This window comes from Homo sapiens, chromosome 7 (assembly GCF_000001405.40).
Source record: "Homo sapiens chromosome 7, GRCh38.p14 Primary Assembly".
Lineage (NCBI taxonomy): Eukaryota > Metazoa > Chordata > Mammalia > Primates > Hominidae > Homo > Homo sapiens.
Genome location: NC_000007.14, coordinates 109591683 through 109612498, shown reverse-complemented (window position 1 = coordinate 109612498; position 20816 = coordinate 109591683). Strand labels below are relative to the sequence as shown.

General features: G+C 36.2%; 2 annotated features.

Moving 5' to 3' along the window:
• Positions 399–974: an enhancer, noted in NCBI's record as "NANOG hESC enhancer chr7:109251582-109252157 (GRCh37/hg19 assembly coordinates)". NCBI's record gives its function as "activates a minimal SCP1, AML or CMV promoter by ChIP-STARR-seq in primed H9 embryonic stem cells {active_cell/tissue: H9 hESC(primed)}" and the evidence as "EXISTENCE:reporter gene assay evidence [ECO:0000049][PMID:30033119]".
• Positions 14689–15470: an enhancer, noted in NCBI's record as "OCT4-NANOG-H3K27ac-H3K4me1 hESC enhancer chr7:109237086-109237867 (GRCh37/hg19 assembly coordinates)". NCBI's record gives its function as "activates a minimal SCP1, AML or CMV promoter by ChIP-STARR-seq in naive and primed H9 embryonic stem cells {active_cell/tissue: H9 hESC(naive and primed)}" and the evidence as "EXISTENCE:reporter gene assay evidence [ECO:0000049][PMID:30033119]".

The following is a 20816-nucleotide window of genomic DNA, read 5'->3' as shown; positions in this document are numbered from 1 at the left end:
ACAAAAAAAATTTAAAACATTTGCTGGACATGGTGGTATGTGCCTATGGCCCCAGCTACTTGGGAGGCTAAGGCAGCAGAATCACTTGAGCTCAGGAAATGGCCCAGTGAGCTATGATTGCCGCCACTTTACTCCAGCCTGAGCAACAGAGAGAGACCCTGTCTCCAGACAAAAACAAAAACAAACAAACAACAAAATAACGGAAAAAAAAAAAAAAACCCCAAGAATAGATGCCAATAAATTAAGGCACAATTTCATTTTCCTGAATAAAATTTAATTTTATTACTTTAACATTTGCTTAACCAAAAGAGTTCAAAATATTAGTACTATTTTACTATTACTACAGCTCCTGTGTTTTTCAAAAATATTTATTATCTGCCAATGATAAAAGACTTCCTAGCCCTTTGAAATATAATTATTTTAGACAAAATTTAGATATTCCCAATCCAGAAGCATCAAAGTACATAATATATTTTTTCCTTTTTCAGATTTCCCAGTAGGAATTGTAGCTGTTTTCTATTTTATGGCCTAATGCCAAAAGTAATTTTATTAGTCAAGTGAAGTTAACACATTTTCATTTTTAACTGAGGGCAATTTACTTCCTGCTGGTCATTTACAGTTTCCTCTCTTAATGACTGACTTAGTAAAAGTGAAAGATAGCCTCAGGCTGCTTCTCAACAGGTCATTAACAAGTTGTAAATGAGAGGAACATTCAGACTATCACTTCAATCATACCTGTGTATCCAAATTTAAACATTACTAACTTGTTTTAGATCATGAGGTGCTCTAATCTGAAATACTCATTCTATTCCCAGCCTCATGGCACCCTATAGCGTGAATTACCTAAAGGATATTTTGGCAAGAATTAAGGCTTAAGCTTGTGTATTTTTTGTTAAATGTATTTTTATTCAATGCATTATCACAAAATGAATTCCAAGTAATCATTATTCATACCAAGACAAAAAATAGTAAACAGCACCCCTCCAAAATCCACTTTCATCTTGTTCTATCCAAACCACTTACCACTTCCTTCCCATCCAAAGTTAACCAATATCTTTGCTTCTGTGGAGATGCTTCCTGGCTTTTCTTTATAAAGGAAGTTTGTTCTTTAGACACCAACTAAATGTGCATATAAATACTATATATAAATACTATATAGGGTATCAAAACTACTACACTATAGTGTAGTAAGAATACTATACTTGTGTTTCTCCTTATTTTGAACTTTAAATATTTAGAATCATATAAGCATTTGTCTTTTTGGTCTGGCTTTTTTGGTTCAACATTGGCTTTATGAGATTTAACTGTGTTATTTCCTGTAGCAATACTTGATTATTCACTTTCACTGCTGAATATTTTTTTACTTCTACAAAGAAACACAATCTGTTTATTCATTTAGTGTCAATTGAAAATTCAATTTATGCCTGTATTGCTGTTATGGGACATTCTGTTACACATCTCTTAGTGCACATGTGCATGAATTACTGTTGGGTATATATCTAGGTGTATGATTTTGGTTCTTAAAATCTGTGCAGCTTCAACTGCAGTATATAGTTCTCAATTTTTCTCACATACTAGTAGTTTATGTGAGCTCCCAATGCTATACATTCTCATCACCACTTGACATTCCTCAGAATTTTTAAATTGCATTCATTCTGGTGAGTGTTATAGAGGTTACCTCATTAAAGTTTTAACTTTCATTTTCCTTTGTACTAATGATTTTGAACTACTTTTCATATGTTTATTGAACATTTTGATATCTTTTCTTTTTGAGACCAGCCTGGCCAACATGGTGAAACTCCGTCTCTACTAAAAATGCAAAAATTAGCTGGGCATGGTGGCAGCTGCCTGTAATCCAAGCTACTTAGGAGGCTGAGGCAGGAGAATTGCTTGAACTCAGGAGGCAGAGGTTGCAGCGAGCCCAGATTGCGCCATTGCACTGGATGACAGGAGCTAAACTCCTCTGTCTCAAAAAACAAACAAACATAAAACAAAAATCATTACTTCAGTTACCAATTTTTCTGTTCTTTGTAATAGAAAAGTAGTAGTGATATCATGGATGCATGTGTTGTAAATATGTTTTTCCATTTCTTGGCTTATTACCCCATTTCTTCAATAGATTTTTATAAAGCAAATACATACTTAATTTCAATTTTTATTCATCCACTTTTTTTTATTTCTGGCAAGAGTTTTCTAAATTTTACTTTAAGAAGTCATTCCATGACTTAGAGGTCAGAAAAATAATCTCCAATGTTATGTTATAGAATCTTTGTAGCTTTGCTTTTGCATTTAGATCAGCTTCCTCCCCCAACTTGATATGATCTTCTATTTGGTATCCAATAAAGATCAAAATTCTTTTTTATAGAAATATCAAATTGCCAGCACTACGTATAGATGGTATTACTCGTGCTGTTTAGTCTGCAATAACTCCCTTGTCATAAATAAGTTTCCATATGTTTGCAAGACTCTTTCAGAGTTCTTTATTCTGCTACAGTATTTATCAATATTATATAATTAATCCTTTTTCTTCTTCAAGAGTGTCTTCACATATTTGGCCCTTTGAGTTTCTGCATATATTGTATTACCTTTCAAGTTACACACATACCTGCATATAAAACCTGTAGTGATTTTTGTTGGGATTATATCATGGTGTCTATGATTCAATCTTTGGAAATCAACGTCTTTATGATATTATTTTCTAGTTTATGTACAAGAAATCTCCCTTCATTTACTTTGTTATTTAACATTTCTTTTAGTAATGGTTCACAGTTTTTTAGAAAATGTCCTAGTTATTATTTATTAGATTTATTCACATATATCTTATTTTTGTGGAGTCATTTTAGATGGTACATATATTTACTTTATGTTTGTTGATGATTTGCAGGCTATAGATGAGTTTTATATGTTGATTGGTACCTAGCAACTGTTTTCAGAATCACTATAATCTTATTAACTGATTTTCATTTTATTTAAAAAGTTTTATGAACATAATTATATTCTCTAAAAATACTGACATTTATTTCTTGCCTGAAAATCCTTATAATATTTATTTCTGTATATTGCACTCCTCTAAAGGCAAGTAGTCAAATATTATAAATTATTGGTACTAGCAGGTATCTTTGTCTCATTTCAAAACTAAAGGCAAAGTTCTTTCCTTCTGCGTTTATTCTGCTAAGGATTTTTTCCCTGAGAATGGATAACAAAATGCTTCTACTGGTATCTTCTAATAGTTTTTCTTCATTTTGCTAAGATGTAAATTTGGTTTCACAAAATATTAAGACAACTGTATATTCCTACAATCAGCCCAACTTTTCTATATTTTATCCCATTCATATACTGGTGAATGTGCTTTCTTAATGTTTTTATTTAGAATTTTTGTATCTAGTTTTTTCATGACTTTGGCTTGTAATTTAACCTCCTTGTATTATTCTTTTCAATTTTCGGCATAGGCAATGTTGACTTAAAGAAATAGTTGAACACTGTTCCCTCTTTTCCAATTTTCTGGAAGAGTTCATGTTAACTTATTTTAATTTCTTCCTTAAATATCTGATAGAATTCATTGATGAATCCATCTTGGCCTGGTGCTTTCTTTGCATCAGGTTTTATAATTATGGATTATTCTTAAAGCATGGCTTTACCGATACCTAGAAGTTTTGATGTAAAATATTTTTTATCATTTTCAGTTTAAATATTTTCTAATCTTTATTATGGTTTCTTCTTTTCCCTAATCCATAAATTATGTAAAAGTAATCTAGTTAATTTATACAATATGCAGAGGTTTATCATTGGTTTCTGACCCAATGATCTCTCAGTTTTTTTCTATTTGATTTTTGTTTCTTTATTTTTTCTTCCTGTTTGTTTTGCTAACAAAAATCCTTATATCTTCTTTATTCTTGATTGTTATCACTCCATTTTCCTGGGTGTACACTATTTCTAATGTGGAGTTAACTGTCTAACTATTATTCCTTAAAATTAGCCTTCCTTTTTCTCTGGCTAGTTTTAAGGCTTCTCTTTGTTCTTAATTCTCATTAATTTTCCTGTGATATGCCTGGATATAACTTCATTTTACTTATTCTCATGGCTATGGTGAGCTTCTTGTATATGAGGCATGATGTTTCTCAGTAGTTTGAAGCTGTAAGTTCCTCAATATCTCTTTCCTTTAATTTCCCTTGTCAGAAGTTTGGTTCCTCAGGTATCAGACATTGAGATGGAGTTTAGCACACAGGACACTTATTAAGGCATACTCTTGTGGTCAATGTCTGTGGAATGAAGGAAAACAATGCAAGAATACCCAGTTGAGGGAGAAGTTGAGCTGTGATGCAGACCCAAATCCTGCTTTAGCTGACCCCTAAGGAGGTAAGGTGCTATAATGGCTTCTTGGGTTTTCCCAGGTCAGGCCAAGGAAGCCAGCTGTTTCAATAAATATAAATGTCAGTCAATATATATAAATGTCTGCAATGCTATGGACTGAATATTTGCGGTCCCCCCAATTCCTTTGCTGAATTGCTTTAATACCTGATGTGATAGTGTTTGAAGATGAGGACTTTGACGGTAATTAGGTTTAGATGAGCTCATGAGAGTGGAGCCCTCCTGATGTGATTAGTGCCCTTATAAAAACAGAGAGACCGGAGACTTCTTTCTCTGCCATGTGAGGATATAGCAATAAGGTGATCATCTACAAGCCAGAAAGATGATCCTTCTTAAGTGCTAGCTGACACTGAATCTGCTAGCACTTCTTCAAAGCAGAAGAAAACTAACACTGTAGTGAGAATTACTGAGCCAGGATCCAGGAAAATAGGGAGGCTCAAGTAGGTGAGCATTTCTTCCTAAAATCTATCTTCTTTGCTTCTTTTCTTGGTAAAATTTCAGCCATAAACTACTGAATTTTCTGAGTGCATTAAACCTCTTCTACTGTAATGAATTGCCAAACCATTCCCCTAATCATATTCTAATATTTTCCTTCTACTCTTTTAGGGTCTTTGTAGAGTAACCTCTTTGGCTTTAGTAACGTTCACTTGGGATCCTACACTCAGAAAAAATGTCACCTAAGGTATCAATTTCATTTTACAGATGAAGAATTCTAGATCTAAAGAAGTTAACCCTGAATTCCAATCACAAACATTTTTAAATGTCTAATTTTTTTTAATTTTGAAAAATTTCTTTATGTCATGAACTTACTTGTCCTTGAACATTTAGCTTGTCCATGAAAGAGGGAAGAGCAGCAGCCAAATATCTGGTTCTGGTCCTGTGCTCTTTCGTAAACTTTCCAATAATCACACATCATTTTCTTCTCTTTGGCCTTGAATTTTTAAATGTGCATTATTTACACAATGGGAGCTGCCTGTATTTTTCTTTATATCATAATCATATGAATTTTAATAAGATTTATAAAACTTTTCATAAAATTATATGTTCTTAAGTCATAAAATTATAAGCTCTTCATATCAGGATTTCCAATTATATATGTGTCTACTCATCCCATGATTTTAATGATACTTCTAGATTTAGTTTTCACTTGGGGAGTATTCAACAAAATTAATTTTAATGAAAGTTATATTTTAACTCAATTTTAAGAAGAAAAAGCTAGGAGAGTTCTAATATAAATCTGAATCTTGACATTTATTCTTTGAAAAGTGCAATTACAAGCAACAGTTTTTAAAAAGTAAGAACAAAAACAATCTGTTCATTAGATAACTCATAAACTTCCAAAATAATTGTCTAAAAAAATTAGGAGTATTTTAGCTATGTCTGATATGTTATTTCTGAATATACATATGTCCAATTTACAGATTCAAGAATTACAATGCACTTGTGTTATTGTAGTGAAAAGTTAGAAATCATCCAAATGTCCATCTACAAGAAGACGGTTACTTTGTGGTATATGTAGAAAATGGACACCTGTATGGCAATTTAAAAGAAATAAACTAAGATGTAGGCAAGTTTCCAAAATGATGAAGAGCAAAAAATGTTCAAAAGCTAAATTGTAGAAGGACCAAAACAAAAATGATGCAATTTAATAGAGTTTAATTATATAAATAATGCACATATGAAATGTTATTAGATTTGTGATTAAAGTATAAAACCATACATGGAAATAATTAACACTAGTTTAATTATTAACACTAGTTTAATTAATTATTAATAATTAACATGAGGTTCTAGTGGGGATGATGACTTTTGGGTAGAAGTAGAAGTGATATTGGAGAGGGGGAGTTCAATTTTTACCTGTAATATTTAGTTTCTGTTTGTGTTTTAAAATATATTTGATGCAAATGTCATAAAATTGATGGTGGATACAGGGCTGTCAGTATATATTTTTTATATGAACATCTGAAAAACACTTGAATACTGAATTGATGTGTTCTCACTAAATTTAAGATTAACAAAAACTCATTCAGTTGGAAGATAAAGGACTAAAATAAAATCGGCATAATTAATAAAACCACTGAATTATATAATTAATAAGTCCAGGGGAAATTTAGTCTCAAGCACAGTTTAGTCCAAAAGTTTAAATGGCATCAGAAATTTGATTTTCTTGACCACTTGACTCTGTTTTCCTCATCATACAAAGATGGCCCCAGAAGGCTCCAAACTCACATATTCACAGATAAGCAAAACCAGTAGGGAGAGGTTCTTTTTCCCAATGTTTCTAGAAGAAGGTTCAGGGTCTGCTGCCATTTATCTAATTTTAATAGCATATCTAGTTAATTGTGAGCAGACTGAACATTTTGATAGGTATGGCCACCAATCCCATAAAAAAAGCCATAGACCGTAGAGGAAAAAGCAGTTCCACAAGAGGGAAAACAAAACACTGATAGTATTGGTGCTGGGTAGGTAAAAATAACCCAACTTCCAGTTTCATTTTACAAATGTGCATTTTGATAGTATTGTTCAGCTAGTAATATCAGTATATTCAAGAAAGGAAGACATATATTGATATTTCTCTCTCATCTTCCAATTATATGTCACTTTTTTTTTTTTGGCCGAGAATCCCTGTGGAAGTTCCCAACCATTTCCCACCTCCAATCATACTGACTTAACAGAAACTAATAGGCTGCATATACATTGTTTTTGCTGATTTAAAGTGATTGATTCTTGTTTAGATATAGTAGTTTATAAATTTACCAATATAATTTCCCAGGCGATGTGAATTTTTAAAACTAAATACTATTTTTAAAAACCCAATCATTCTATAATAAACTCATTTATTCAATCACTAGCTTAATGGCTAATTAATAATGCAGGTTTTAGGGTCTATATACTGATAGAAATTGTCCCTCTAGAAAGTTTGCATATTTGTTTGCTATATCCTTATTCCAGTATTTTCTTATGATCTGTGTCAAAATATTGAAAAATGAGTAACAGATGCGTCATTGAAACTTCTTTAAATAAAAAACAAACAAATACATTTAAATCACATTTAACTTTTTTATCATGCAATTGTGAATTAGGTCCTTTCTTTTATTGGTAATTAGAGTGTGGAACAGATGGTGTAGACTTTGGCAAAAAGTGATAATCTCTCCAAAGTAACATGTTGTCAACTGATTATTAGCAAAATAAAGATCTATTCCCTTGATCAAGCGTCTGTTTTAAAGGTTAGAAAAGAAGAAACGTGTTTCAACTACAAAAATATGGGATTTTACAAATAGAGAACAGCATTCCGATGCTTTGAGTCCTGGGCACATTTTGTTAGTTGCCATTCATCTCGAAACAGTTTCATTAAGTTTTTGACATGATCATTTGGAGAAATTTCTCCATTATTGTCTCTCCAATAGTCCTGACAAATTATTAGTAAGCACTGGAAGAAACGGTCCTGATTTCACCATGCATCTCCCCTAAACTACACTTCCATTGTGTTCTTCAGAGGGACCTCTACAAGGGTACCCAGGAACTCTGAGAGCTATAAATAATTTACCAGGAGCCAGAACACCTCGTCTTGATGTAGGCTTGACTCATTCTAGGTGCAAAAGTAGCAGATAACCCAAGCGAGCAGAAGGCCCAGGGTCAGCATCAATGCAGGGACTCCAGATTAAGGATGTCCAGGGTAATGCTCAGAATCCATCTCTTGGTGGATTGAAAAAATAAATAGTTAAGTGAAAGACTAAAGGGAACAACTTGCCTCTGCTGATTCTTAGAACTAACACCACAGATCTAATATGCTAGGGCTTTGTTTGCCCTGATTCTTACCTCATCGCTCCTGTACCCATGCCATTTTCCCATTTGTGGCCTATATGCCTCTGGCTATTATAAAACCAAATCATCATAATTCCTTTGGTATCCTGGTCTTTCCAACTCATCCAGATTTCTCTGTTGTACAGAAAGATGGAGATAAAAAGTAAGGCAATTTATGAACATTCAGGCATTTCTGCAGGGCAAGTGAATGCATGTTCAGGTTAAGGAGCAACAATATAAATGAGTATCAAACAGAGGCACTGAATGTGTGTTAGTTGTCACAGAACTGGCAGTTTCTTTGAAGCAAAACAAGCAGTAAGAATCATTCCTCCACCTTCATATTTAGAGCAGCTAAAATCTTTACGTCTAGAAAATTTTCAGGAAAACTAAAAGTTCTAGTCATAACGAAATGCACGTATTAAATGAAGAAGAGCAAAGGTACATTCAGGAAAACAAATCTCACTTTTCTTGTATAGTCATTGCCTTACTGTAATAATTTATCAGCCATCTGGCAAGAGTATTATTGATATTTTGTATATCCAAATTACTTGTAAACTTCAATGGGTTTAGAACCATGTATTACCATTTAAAGTTTTCTTCAAACTTTAACGTTAAGGTGGTAGCTAGCCAGCATTAACCAATATGACATCCCCCAACTTCTCATCAAATGACCGGTAGAAAAATAGATAAAATGTAAAATTGTATGGAGAAATTAAAAATATTAAGCACCACTCTGTTAGACATCAAAAGGAATTACTATTAATAAAAGAGCAAATTAAATTCTATTGTAAAACACAGAGGCCAATTAGAAAGCAAATGGGATTTTCACCCATTCTTAGTGAGCACTCCTACTTTAAAGACCTAGACTATTCATTATTTAAGGGAAGGAAAACAAATGTCAGAAATGCATGAAGAACTCTGCCAGAGGTGATCAGGGCAATTTATTTTCATTTTAATTCCATCATTAAGATTTTTGTATTTCATAGTTATTTGGAACTTTATAATTTTCAAAATTATACTGTGACTGTGGTTTGAATTTGATAGTTATTGGTACATTGAATAACTGGAAATAAACTAGATACTTGAAAATACGGGGAAGTCTTGGAAGCAGTTAATTTTAACAATTTTATACTTATTTCATTTTCCTGCTATGCTAAAATCTACAGACTTTGGAAATGTTTCAACCTATAAACAAATCAAGTACTAAAACATTTTCATAAATATTATTGTTGAGAATTATAAAGTTCTGAATTATTTTTATAAGTATACTTATTAAACTTATAAAACACAATACTTGCTACTGCCATTTGTTGATGGTGAAAGAGTTGATCATTTTACTCTTGCCTTGACTATTATAGAATTTATAGGCAGCTGGAAGCTGATTAAAAAAAGATCTCAGGTACATCTGAAGAAAAATATTCCATGATATATCAGATTATTAGAGAAAGAAAGCAATCCATTTGTTCTCAGTTTAGTAAAGGCCCATTAGATAAATAACTACTTGACATCATAATTTTTAAAAGAAGTTTTTGTGTCATTAAACACTGAAACCTAGTTCTGAAAGGAGGATATGAACAGCAGCTTTATCATTAGTTAGTGAGAACGAGGGGTAAATAATCACCAAAGACTGTTTAGACTGCCACTTATTCAATGAGCAGTTCATAAGCAACTCTTACGTGGGCCCATTAAATAGATTACAATGTAATTGACTATATAATAGTCCTTTAAAGGTGCACAGACAAAATATATTTTTGATAAAGATTTACTATTGAAAAGAAAGTTAAATTTTATAAATAAATTTACCTTGTGTTCTTAGGAAATTTAAAAATATGAATGACAAAACAAGACAGTCAAAATGTTATGAAGTTATAATGAACTGAGATGATTTTTAACAGTTGACTGGATAAGAATAGGTTGTTATAAAATTAAAATCACAAAGTTATATTTGCCCAGAAGCAATAATTCACAGAAGCAATAAAGCAGGCAATGTAATCATTGGTATAAAACTCAACATTCAATATTACTCTTGGTATAGACAGAAAAGACCAAAGATGATTTTTCTTGGTATAAAGACAAGATGGACGTCAAACTAGCCTCAGATTCCTCCACGATAATAAATATTGAAGGGGTAGCTATAAAGCTTTGGGAACAATAGCAATGGATTTAACTAGGTGGTAATTCAGTTATGAAAAAATATTCAGATATCCTAAGATTTATGAACAGAAGTATATCACAAGCTTACCCTTTCTGGAGATATAAGGAACTAAGCAATAATTTAGCTGACCAATAAATACATAAAGCAAAATGATTAACTCAAGAAATAACGATGTCAATGCATGTATCAAAATATCACATGTGCCCCCAAAATATGTACAATGATTACATACAGATAAAAAATTTAACTTATAAAAAATTGAATGTTAGAGAATTTAAAAAAGACATATTTAACAGTCAAAATGCTTTAAAAATGTCCAGAAATTGTTATAAACATTAAAAATACAAACATCAAAATAATTTATAAAATCAAAGCATGTAACATTAAAGATGATGTTTCTAATCTGGGTCTAAAATTTGCAAGTACACATATAAAACAAAAAAAAACCTGTGGGAAAAAAGAAGCAGAAGCATATCAATTTATAATCTTTACCATATCTTACATGTGAAATATGAAATAAACACTTTTTTATTCCTGATACTTATTTAATGTATTTTTTAACTTAAAGGCAATTAATAGTAACAATAAATAAATAGATGGTATTTATGCCTTTAAACTATTTCAAGAATCTGTAATATATACTTCATGTTAATTAAAAGAGTTAAAAATACAAAATGTAAAGTAGGGGTTGACAACCAAAATAATATTTATGACAATCATTATAAATGGCTTATATTTTTCTATTAAAATTGAAAGACTATCCGAATGAATTGAGAATACAACTTCATACTTCTTTAGAAGTGGTAAACCTAAAGCTATGGGAAAAATGGATTAAAAAATAAATAACTTTGCATATATATATGTGTGTGTATATATATATGTAATATATGTAATACCATTCAATTGCAGTTACTTATATATGTAATACCAGTCAAATGCAGAGTTACTTATAATATGTATACTTAAATTTTATATCCTATAGAAACTGAAACTTTTTAATTTCTGATTTTATTTTTCAAGAATCACATTATTTACCAAGCTATTATTAATAACTTGCCAAGTGCAGGAATTATTACATCCATGTAGGAAAACAATATAAGACATTATCCATAAATATTTATCAATAAAAGATCAAAATATTGAGTGTGGCAAACAAATTAACAACATGTGTTTGTCTTCTGTCTAATAAATACTAACTAAAATTTAGTTATAGAAGGAAAAAAAAAGATTTACCCCAAGGAAAAGACAGAATAACAAATTTTAATCAAATTTTGAATGGCTGAAATGAAAAAGGGTTTGGTTTCCAGAATAAACAAACAAGAAAACTCTGAATTTAAGACCACAAAGGAAGATAGCAGAGTGAGGCATACAACTTAAGAAAGGAGATTCAATGAAAGCCTATTTTCTAAATGAAGAACTTTTCAGCAGCCTTCTCTGTTTCTTTCCAGAAAGGCTAGCCCTAACATTCCTGTTCTAACATCTCTTTCATCTTGAATATTATCTCCACCCCAGGTAAATTAACCCCATATGCTCCACATACAGGCAGATAGAGATTCCTTCAAACTGATCAAACTGAAGCACCACTCACACAAATGGAAGAATCAATCATATTTTTAAAGCTTTACTTATAATTTTGAACAGATATCAAAGAAAATTAGACATGAAATAAAATGAGACAAATGAAAATAAAATCAGAATTCAGTGCAGGGGAGAACAGATGTAGAACAGAGAGCAAAAGACAGATTCTATAACCTATAATTTATATTGTAGGGAGTTATAAAAATAAATTATACAACCATAATCAAAAGAGGATATAATAAAGAAGAAAATTAGAAAACAAGAAGGTTTATGAAAATTAAAAACTCGTCTCTTTTTAAAAAATATGTTTAGTTTTATTTTGGAAATAAATGTGAGGACTCTCCCAGGAAGTATAACAAAAAGTGGAACAAAAAAATAAAAGGAGAGAGAATGACACCGTAATCTGCTGTATCTGATGAACTGAAATTTTGAAAACGGAAAGAAAACACAGTAAGAAGAAAAATTGTAAAAAATGTTCAATAAAAAATAAATTCTGGTATTTCTTCTAACTTGTAAAGAACTTGCAAGCTGTCATTTTGTGCACACATCGAGAAAAAAAACTGGACAAACCAAAAATAAATTACTTTCATTTTTGTGCATACATCAAGAAAAAAGAAACTGGACAAACTGAAAATTATTTACTTTTCTTTGACCCAGTGCAAACAACCACCCAGAAATCTGGAAAGACAGGAACATTTAGAGAGATGGAGTCACAATTGACTTCCCTGGAGCAGAAGTTGCTGGAGTTGCAAACTGGTAGGAAAATTTAAATGGCAAGTGTTGACAAACTACTGGAGGCTGAGCATGGACCAGTATGAGAGTAAAAAATTCCCAGAGGTGGAACTCTTACACTTGCATGGGTCTTATCTGCAGAAACCCAAGAGTTTCTAACAAGAAAGATCCCTTCATGACTCTGGCAGGGGAAGAGTTTATTACAAAACTAACCAGCACCATACCATTTGTTCTACCAATCCTGCTCCTAGGTGTTTACCCAACTGATTTGAAAATGTATATCCACACATGAACTTGCATTTGAATGTTATGGCAACTTTGTTAATAATCACCAAAATCCTGAAACAGTTAAGAAATTCATCAACAGGTGAATAGATAAACAAACTCTGAGACATCCATACAATTGAATACTATTTAGGATGAAAAGGAATGAACTACCAGCATTGCAAATACATAAAAGAATTATAAATACATAATATCAAATGCACGACACCAGTCACAGAGGACTACTGTATGATTCCATTTATATGACATTCTGGAAAAGGCAAAAATATATAGGTGGTAAAGAGGCCAGTCAATACTATGGGTTCAAAGGGGAGGGTTGAATATGTGAAAGTACAGATTTTTTTTTTTTTTTTTTTTTTTTTGAGATAGAGTCTTACTCTGTCGCCCAGACTGGAGTGCAGTGGCATGATCTCGGCTCACTGCAAGCTCTGCCTCCTGGGTTCACACCGTTCTCCTGCCTCAGCCTCCTGAGTAGCTGGGACTACAGGCACCCGCCACCACACCCAGCTAATTTTTTGTATTTTTAGTAGAGACGGGGTTTCACGGTGTTAGCCAGGATGGTCTCGATCTCCTGACCTCTTGATCCTCCCGCTTTGGCCTCCCAAAGTGCTGGGATTACAGGCATGAGCCACCGCGCCTGGCCCAGAAGATATTTTAAGGTGGTAAATCTTGTCTGAATAATACTATTATAGTGGATATCTGACAGTGTACATCTTGAAAATCCATAGAACTTTACAGCAAAAAGAATGAAACTTAATGTATTAAATATGTAAGTTTAAAAAAAGAACCACTGTGGAGATTGGAGCTTCCCAAAATGAAATTTGACAAATATATATACTGCTATATCTGTTCAAATTAATGGCAAAAACTGCAATTACTTTTGTACCAACTTAATGTCTATCTATCATCTATCTATCTATCTATCTATCTATCTATCTATATTACATATGTATGTAATAACCTCAATGGGGGGAGAAAGGTCCTGACTTAAGTGGTTTTGGGAATAAATTACGTCTTCAAGAATAAAACAACCACAGATAAGTACTGTACTTTAGTTGATAACTTTGTTTCCCAAAGAGGTAAATGTTGACAATTCTGAAATCACTATACTGTATACCCTGAATGAACAAATAAGTAAATTAATGAGATGGTGAGGACCAGATGTCTCACTGGTTACAGATTTGTTTTGTCTCAAACTTTACACATGAAAAATAAAACAGATTCAGACTAACCAGTTTACATTCTCATCCTAAGGAAAAATGGTGGTGTCTGAGGCAATGGAAGTAAAATAAGCAGAGAATACTAGGTAAAGAGGCTTTTGAAGCTATTACCCATTTCTAATATACTGCATTGCAAAGGAATTTTGAGGAAGGAATGAAGTGTTGTGAGTAGGCAAAGAGGAATCTGGGTCTTAGCTCTTAAAAGAGATTTAAATGAAGAATTGAGGTGTGATGCGAATGACATAGTTTGTAAATCCACATCATGAAATTACAAAACCAGAGGATCCAACATGAGCAGAAGAGCCATCAATTTAACTGCATTTCAGAACCCATATTTATTAAAGTGTTTAAAAGGGGATGTACTATTTTTACCAGCATCCTAAACTAGAGTATTATACTGAATCATTTGTTTAGTGCTCCTACAAGCTTTAAATAATAGTTGAATAAAAGAGTCAGATTGTTTTTTAAAAAAATGCTGTTTGTGTGATGGGCGCTGTAGGTAGTGTTGGTGTTTCCAAATAGTAAGAATAAACTAATTTATGAAATAGCGATAATTATTTTTAGAAAGGTGTATAGTTTACTAGATTTATCTAAGTATTTCCTATTAGAGTTAATTAAAACCATTAATATTGTAAGAATGTCAAAAATTAATACAATGTCATATATAAATTCATATTTGTCAGGCCTCTGAGCCCAAGCCAAGCCATCGCACCCCCTGTGACTTGCACGTATATGCCCAGATGGCCTGAAGTAACTGAAGAATCACAAAAGAAGTGAAAATGCCCTGCCCCACCTTAACTGATGACATTCCACCACAAAAGAAGTGTAAATGGCCAGTCCTTGCCTTAACTGATGACATTCCACCACAAAAGAAGTGAAAATGGCCTGTTCCTGCCTTAACTGATGACATTATCTTGTGAAATTCCTTCTCCTGGCTCATCCTGGCTCAAAATCTCCCCTACTGAGCACCTTGTGACCCCCACTCCTGCCCGCCAGAGAACAACCCCCCTTTTTCCTTTACCTACCCAAATCCTATAAAACGGCCCCGCCCCTATCTCCCTTCACTGACTCTCTTTTTGGATTCAGCCCGCCTGCACCCAGGTGAAATAAACAGCTTTATTGCTCACACAAAGCCTGTTGGGTGGTCTCTTCACATGGACACGAGTGAAATTTGGTGCCGTGACTCAGATCCAGGGACCTCCCTTGGGAGATCAATCCCCTGTCCTCCTGCTCTTTGCTCCAAGAGAAAGATCCACCTACGACCTCAGGTCCTCAGACCGACCAGCCCAAGAAACGTTTCACCAATTTCAAATCCAGTAAGCAGCCTCTTTTTACTCTCTTCTCCAACCTCCCTCACTATCCCTCAACCTCTTTCTCCTTTCAATCTTGTCGCCACACTTCAATCTCTCCCTTCTCTTAATTTCAATTCCTTTCATTTTCTGGTAGAGACAAAGGAGACACGTTTTATCCGTGGACCCAAAACTCCGGCGCTGGTCACGGACTAGGGAAGGCAGCCTTCCCTTGGTGTTTAATCATTGCAGGGACACCTCTCTGATTATTCACCCAGGTTTCAGAGGTGTCAGACCATGCAGGGATGCCTGCCTGGGTCCTTCACCCTTAGCGGCAAGTCCCACTTTTCTGCGGGAGGGGCAGGAACCCCAACCTCTTATCTCTGTGCCCTGGTCCCTTATTTCCATGCCCGGACCTCTTATCTCTGTGCCCCGATCCCTTATTTCTGTGCCCCAACCCCTTCTCTGCTTTTCTGGAGGACAAGAACCCCCCACCCCTTCTCCCTGTCTCTACTCTGTTTTTTCTGGGCTTGCCTCCTTCACTATGGACAAGCTTCCACCTTCCATTCCTCCTTCTTCTCCCTTAGCCTGTGTTCTTAAGAACTTAATACCTCTTCAACTGTCACCTGACCTAAAATCTAAGCGTCTTATTTTCTTCTGCAATGCCACTTGACCCCAATACAAACTTGACAGTAGTTCCAAATAGCCAGAAAACAGCACTTTCAATTTTTCCATCCTACAAGATCTAAATAATTCTTGTCGTAAAATGGGCAAATGGTTTGAGGTGCCTGACGTCCAGGCATTCTTTTACACATCGGGCCCTCCGTAGTCTCTGTTCCCAATGCAACTCGTCCCAAATCTTCCTTCTTTCCCTCCCACCTGTCCCCCTCAGTCCCAACCCCAAGCGTCACTGAGTCTTTCTAATCTTCCTTTTCTACAGACCTATCTGACCTCTTCCCTCCTCACCAGGCCGAGCTAAGTCCCAATTCTTCCTCAGCCTCTGCTCCTCCACCCTATAATCCTTTTTATCACCTCCCCTCCTCACACCCGGTCCGGCTTACAGTTTCGTTCCATGACTAGCCCTCCCCCACCTGCCCAGCAATTTACTCTTAAAAAGGTGGCTGGAGCTAAAGGCATAGTCAAGGTTAATGCTCCTTTTTCTTTACCCCAAATCAGATAGCGTTTAGGCTCTTTTTCATCAAATATAAAAACCCAGCCCTGTTCATGGCTTGTTCGGCAGCAACCCTGAGACGCTTTACAGCCCTAGACCCTAAAAGGTCAAACGGCCGTCTTATTCTCAATATACATTTTATTACCCAATCTGCTCCTGACATTAAATAAAACTCCAAAAATTAAATTCCGGCCCTCAAACCCCACAACAGGACTTAATTAACCTCGCCTTCAAAGTGTACAATAATAGAGTAAAGGCAGCCAAGTAACAACATATTTCTGAGTTGCAATTCTTTGCCTCAACTGTGAGACAAACCCCAGCCACATCTCCAGCGCACAAGAACTTCCAAATGCCTAAACCGCAGTGGCCAGGCATTCCTCCAGAACCACCTCCCCCCAGGAGCTTGCTACAAGTGCCAGAAATCTGACCACCAGGCCAAGGAACCCCTGCAGCCCGGGATTCCTCCTAAGCAGTGTCCCATATGTGCGGGACCCCACTGGAAATCGGACCGTTCAACTCACCTGGCAGCCACTCCCAGAGCCCCTGGAACTCTGCCCCAGGGCTCTCTGACTGACTCCTTCCCAGATCTTCTCGGCTTAGCGGCTGAAGACTGATGCTGCCCGATCGCCTCAGAAGCCCCGTAGACCATCATGGACACTGAGCTTTAGGTAACTCTCACAGTGAAGGGTAAGTCCATCCCCTTCTTAATCAATATGGAGGCTACCCACTCCACATTACCTTCTTTTCAAGGGCCTGTTTCCCTTGCCTCCGTAACTGTTGTGGGTATTGACAGCCAGGCTTCTAAACCTCTTAAAACTCCCCAACTCTGGTGCCAACTTAGACAGTACTCTTTTAAGCACTCCTTTTTAGTTATCCCCACCTGCCCAGTCCCCTTATTAGGCTGAGACACTTTAACTAAATTATCTGCTTCCCTGACTATTCCTGGACTACAGCTGCATCACATTACCGCCCTTCTTCCCAATCCAAAGCCTCCTTTGCGTCCTCCTCTTGTATCCCCCCACCTTAACACACAAGTATAAGATACCTCTACTCCCTCCTTGGTGACCGATCATGCACCCCTTACCATCTCATTAAAATCTAATCACCCTTACCTCGCTCAATGCCAATATCCCATCCCACAGTTTAAAATGATTAAAGTCTGTTTTCACTCACCTGTTACAGCATGGCCTTTTAAAGCCTATAAACTCTCCTTACAATTCCCCCATTTTACCTGTCCTAAAACCAGACAAGACTTACAGGTTAGTTCAGGATCTGCGCCTTATCAACCAAATTGTTTTGCCTATCCACCCTGTGGTGCCAAACCCATATACTCTCATATCCTCAATACTTCCCTCCATAATCCATTATTCTGTTCTAGATCTCAAACATGCTTTCTTTGCTATTCCTTTGCACCCTTCATCCCAGTCTCTCTTCGCTTTCACTTGGACTGACCCTGACATCAGGGTCAGCAAATTACCTGGGCTGTACTGCCGCAAAGCTTCACAGATAGCCCCATTACTTCAGTCAAGCCCAAATTTCTTCCTCACCTGTTACCTATCTCGGCATAATTCTCGCAAAAACACATGTGCTCTCCCTGCTGATCGTGTCCCACTAATCTCCCAAGCCTCAATCCATTCTACAAAACAACAACTCCTTTCCTTCCTGGGCATGGTTGGATACTTTTGCCTTTGGATACCTGGTTTTGCCATCTTAACAAAACCATTACATAAACTCAGAAAAGGAAACCTAGCTGACCCCATAGATCCTAAATCCTTTCCCCACGCCTCATTCCGTTCCTTGAAGACAGCTTTAGAGACTGCCCTCACCCTAGCTCTCCCTGACTCATCGCAACCCTTTTCATTACACACAGCCGAAGTGCTGGGCTGTGCAGTCGGGATTCTTACACAAGGACCGGGATCGCGTCCTGTAGCCTTTGTCCAAACAACTTGACCTTACTGTTTTAGGCTGGCCATCATGTCTCCGTGCAGTGGCTGCTGCCACCTTAATACTTTTAGAGGCCCTAAAAATCACAAACTATGCTCAACTCACTCCATCTCTCATAACTTCCAAAATCTATTTTCTTCCTCACACCTGATGCATATACTTTCTGCTCCCCGGCTCCTTCAGCTATACTCACTCTTTGTTAAGTCTCCCACAATTACCATTGTTCCTGGCCCAGACTTCAATCCGGCCTCCCACATTATTCCAGATACCACACCTGACCCTCATGACTGCCTCGCTCTGATCCACCTGACGTTCACCCCATTTCCCCATATTTCCTTCTTTCCTGTTCCTCACCCTGATCACACTTAGTTTATTGATGGCAGTTCCGCCAGGCCTAATCGCCACACACCAGCAAAGGCAGGCTATGCTATAGTACAAGCCACTAGCGCGCCTCTTAAAACCTCTCATTTCCTTTCCATAGTGGAAATCTATCCTCAAGGAAATAACTTCTCAGTGTTCCATCTGCTATTCTATTACTTCTCAGGGATTATTCAGGTCCCCTCCTTTCCCTACACATCAAGCTCAGGGATTTGCCCCCACCCAGGACTGGCAAATTAGCTTTACTCAATATGCTCCAAGTCAGATAACTAAAATACCTCTTAGTCTAGGTAGACACTTTCACTGGATAGGTAGGGGCCTTTCCTACAGGGTCTGAGAAGGCCACCACAGTCATTTCTTCCTTTCTGTCAGACACAATTCCTCATTTTAGCCTTCCCACCTCTATACAGTCTGATAACAGACCAGCCTTTATTAGTCAAATCAGCCAAGCACTTTTTCAGGCTGTTAGTATTCAGTGAAACCTTTATATACCTTACAGTCCTCAGTCTTCAGGAAAAGTAGAACGGACTAAAGGTCTTTTAAAAACACACCTCACCAATCTCAGCCACCAACTTAAAAAGGACTGGACAATACTTTTACCACTTTCCCTTCTCAGAAGTCAGGCCTGTCCTCAGAATGCTACAGGTTACAGCCCATTTGAGCTCCTGTATAGATGCTCCTTTTTATTAGGCCCCAGTCTCATCCCAGACACCAGACCAACTTAGACTGTGCTCCAAAAAACTTGTCATCCCTACTATTTTCTGTCTAGTCATACTCCTATTCACCGTTCTCAACTACTCATACATGCCCTGCTCTTGTTTACACTGCCAGTTTACACTGTTTCTCCAAGCCATCACAGCTGATATCTCCTGGTGCTATCCCCAAACCGCCACTCTTAACTCTTAAAGGAAATAAATAATCTTTGGTGGCAAGGCTATGCTGAACCTCTTTAAGCACTCTCTAATTAGATGTCCTAAGTCCTCCCAATTCTTAGTCCTTTAATACCTGTATTTCTCCTTCTCTTATTCCATTTAGTTTTTCAATCCATACAAAACCATATCCAGGCCATCACCAATAATTCTACATGACAAATGTTTCTCTAACAACCCCACAATATCACCCCTTACCACAAAATCTTCCTTCAGCTTAATCTCTACCACTCTAGGTTCCCACGCCGCCCCTAATCCCGCTCAAAGCAGGCCTGAGAAACATCGCCCATTCTCTCTCTCCATACCACCCCCCAAAAATTTTCGCTGCCCCAACACTTCAACACTATTTTGTTTCGTTTTTCTTATTAATATAAGAAGGCAGGAATGTCAGACCTCTGAGCCCAAGCCAAGCCATCGCATCCCCTGTGACTTGCACTTATACGCCCAGATGGCCTGAAGTAACTGAAGAATCACAAAAGAAGTGAAAATGCCCTGCCCTGCCTTAACTGATGACATTCCCCCACAAAATAAGTGTAAATGGTCTGTTCCTGCCTTAACTGATGACATTATCTTGTGAAATTCCTTCTCCTGGCTCATCCTGGCTCAAAAGCTCCCCTACTGAGCACCTTGTGACCCCCACTCCTGCCCACCAGAGAACAACCCCCCTTTTTCCTTTACCTACCCAAATCCTATAAAACGGCCCCACCCCTATCTCCCTTCGCTGACTCTCTTTTCGGACTCAGCCCACCGGCACCCAGGTGAAATAAACAGCTTTATTGCTCACACAAGGCCTGTTTGGTGGTCTCTTCACAATATTGATTGTCAAACTAAAATTAAAACATCTTATTGCTACTTTAAAACATTTTAGAAAGATAATTTGAGCCATTTTAAAAAACCACCATGTGAGCAATATTGTATTGACTAAATAATTAAAAGTTTTTCAGTATGTTACTCTTGAACAAG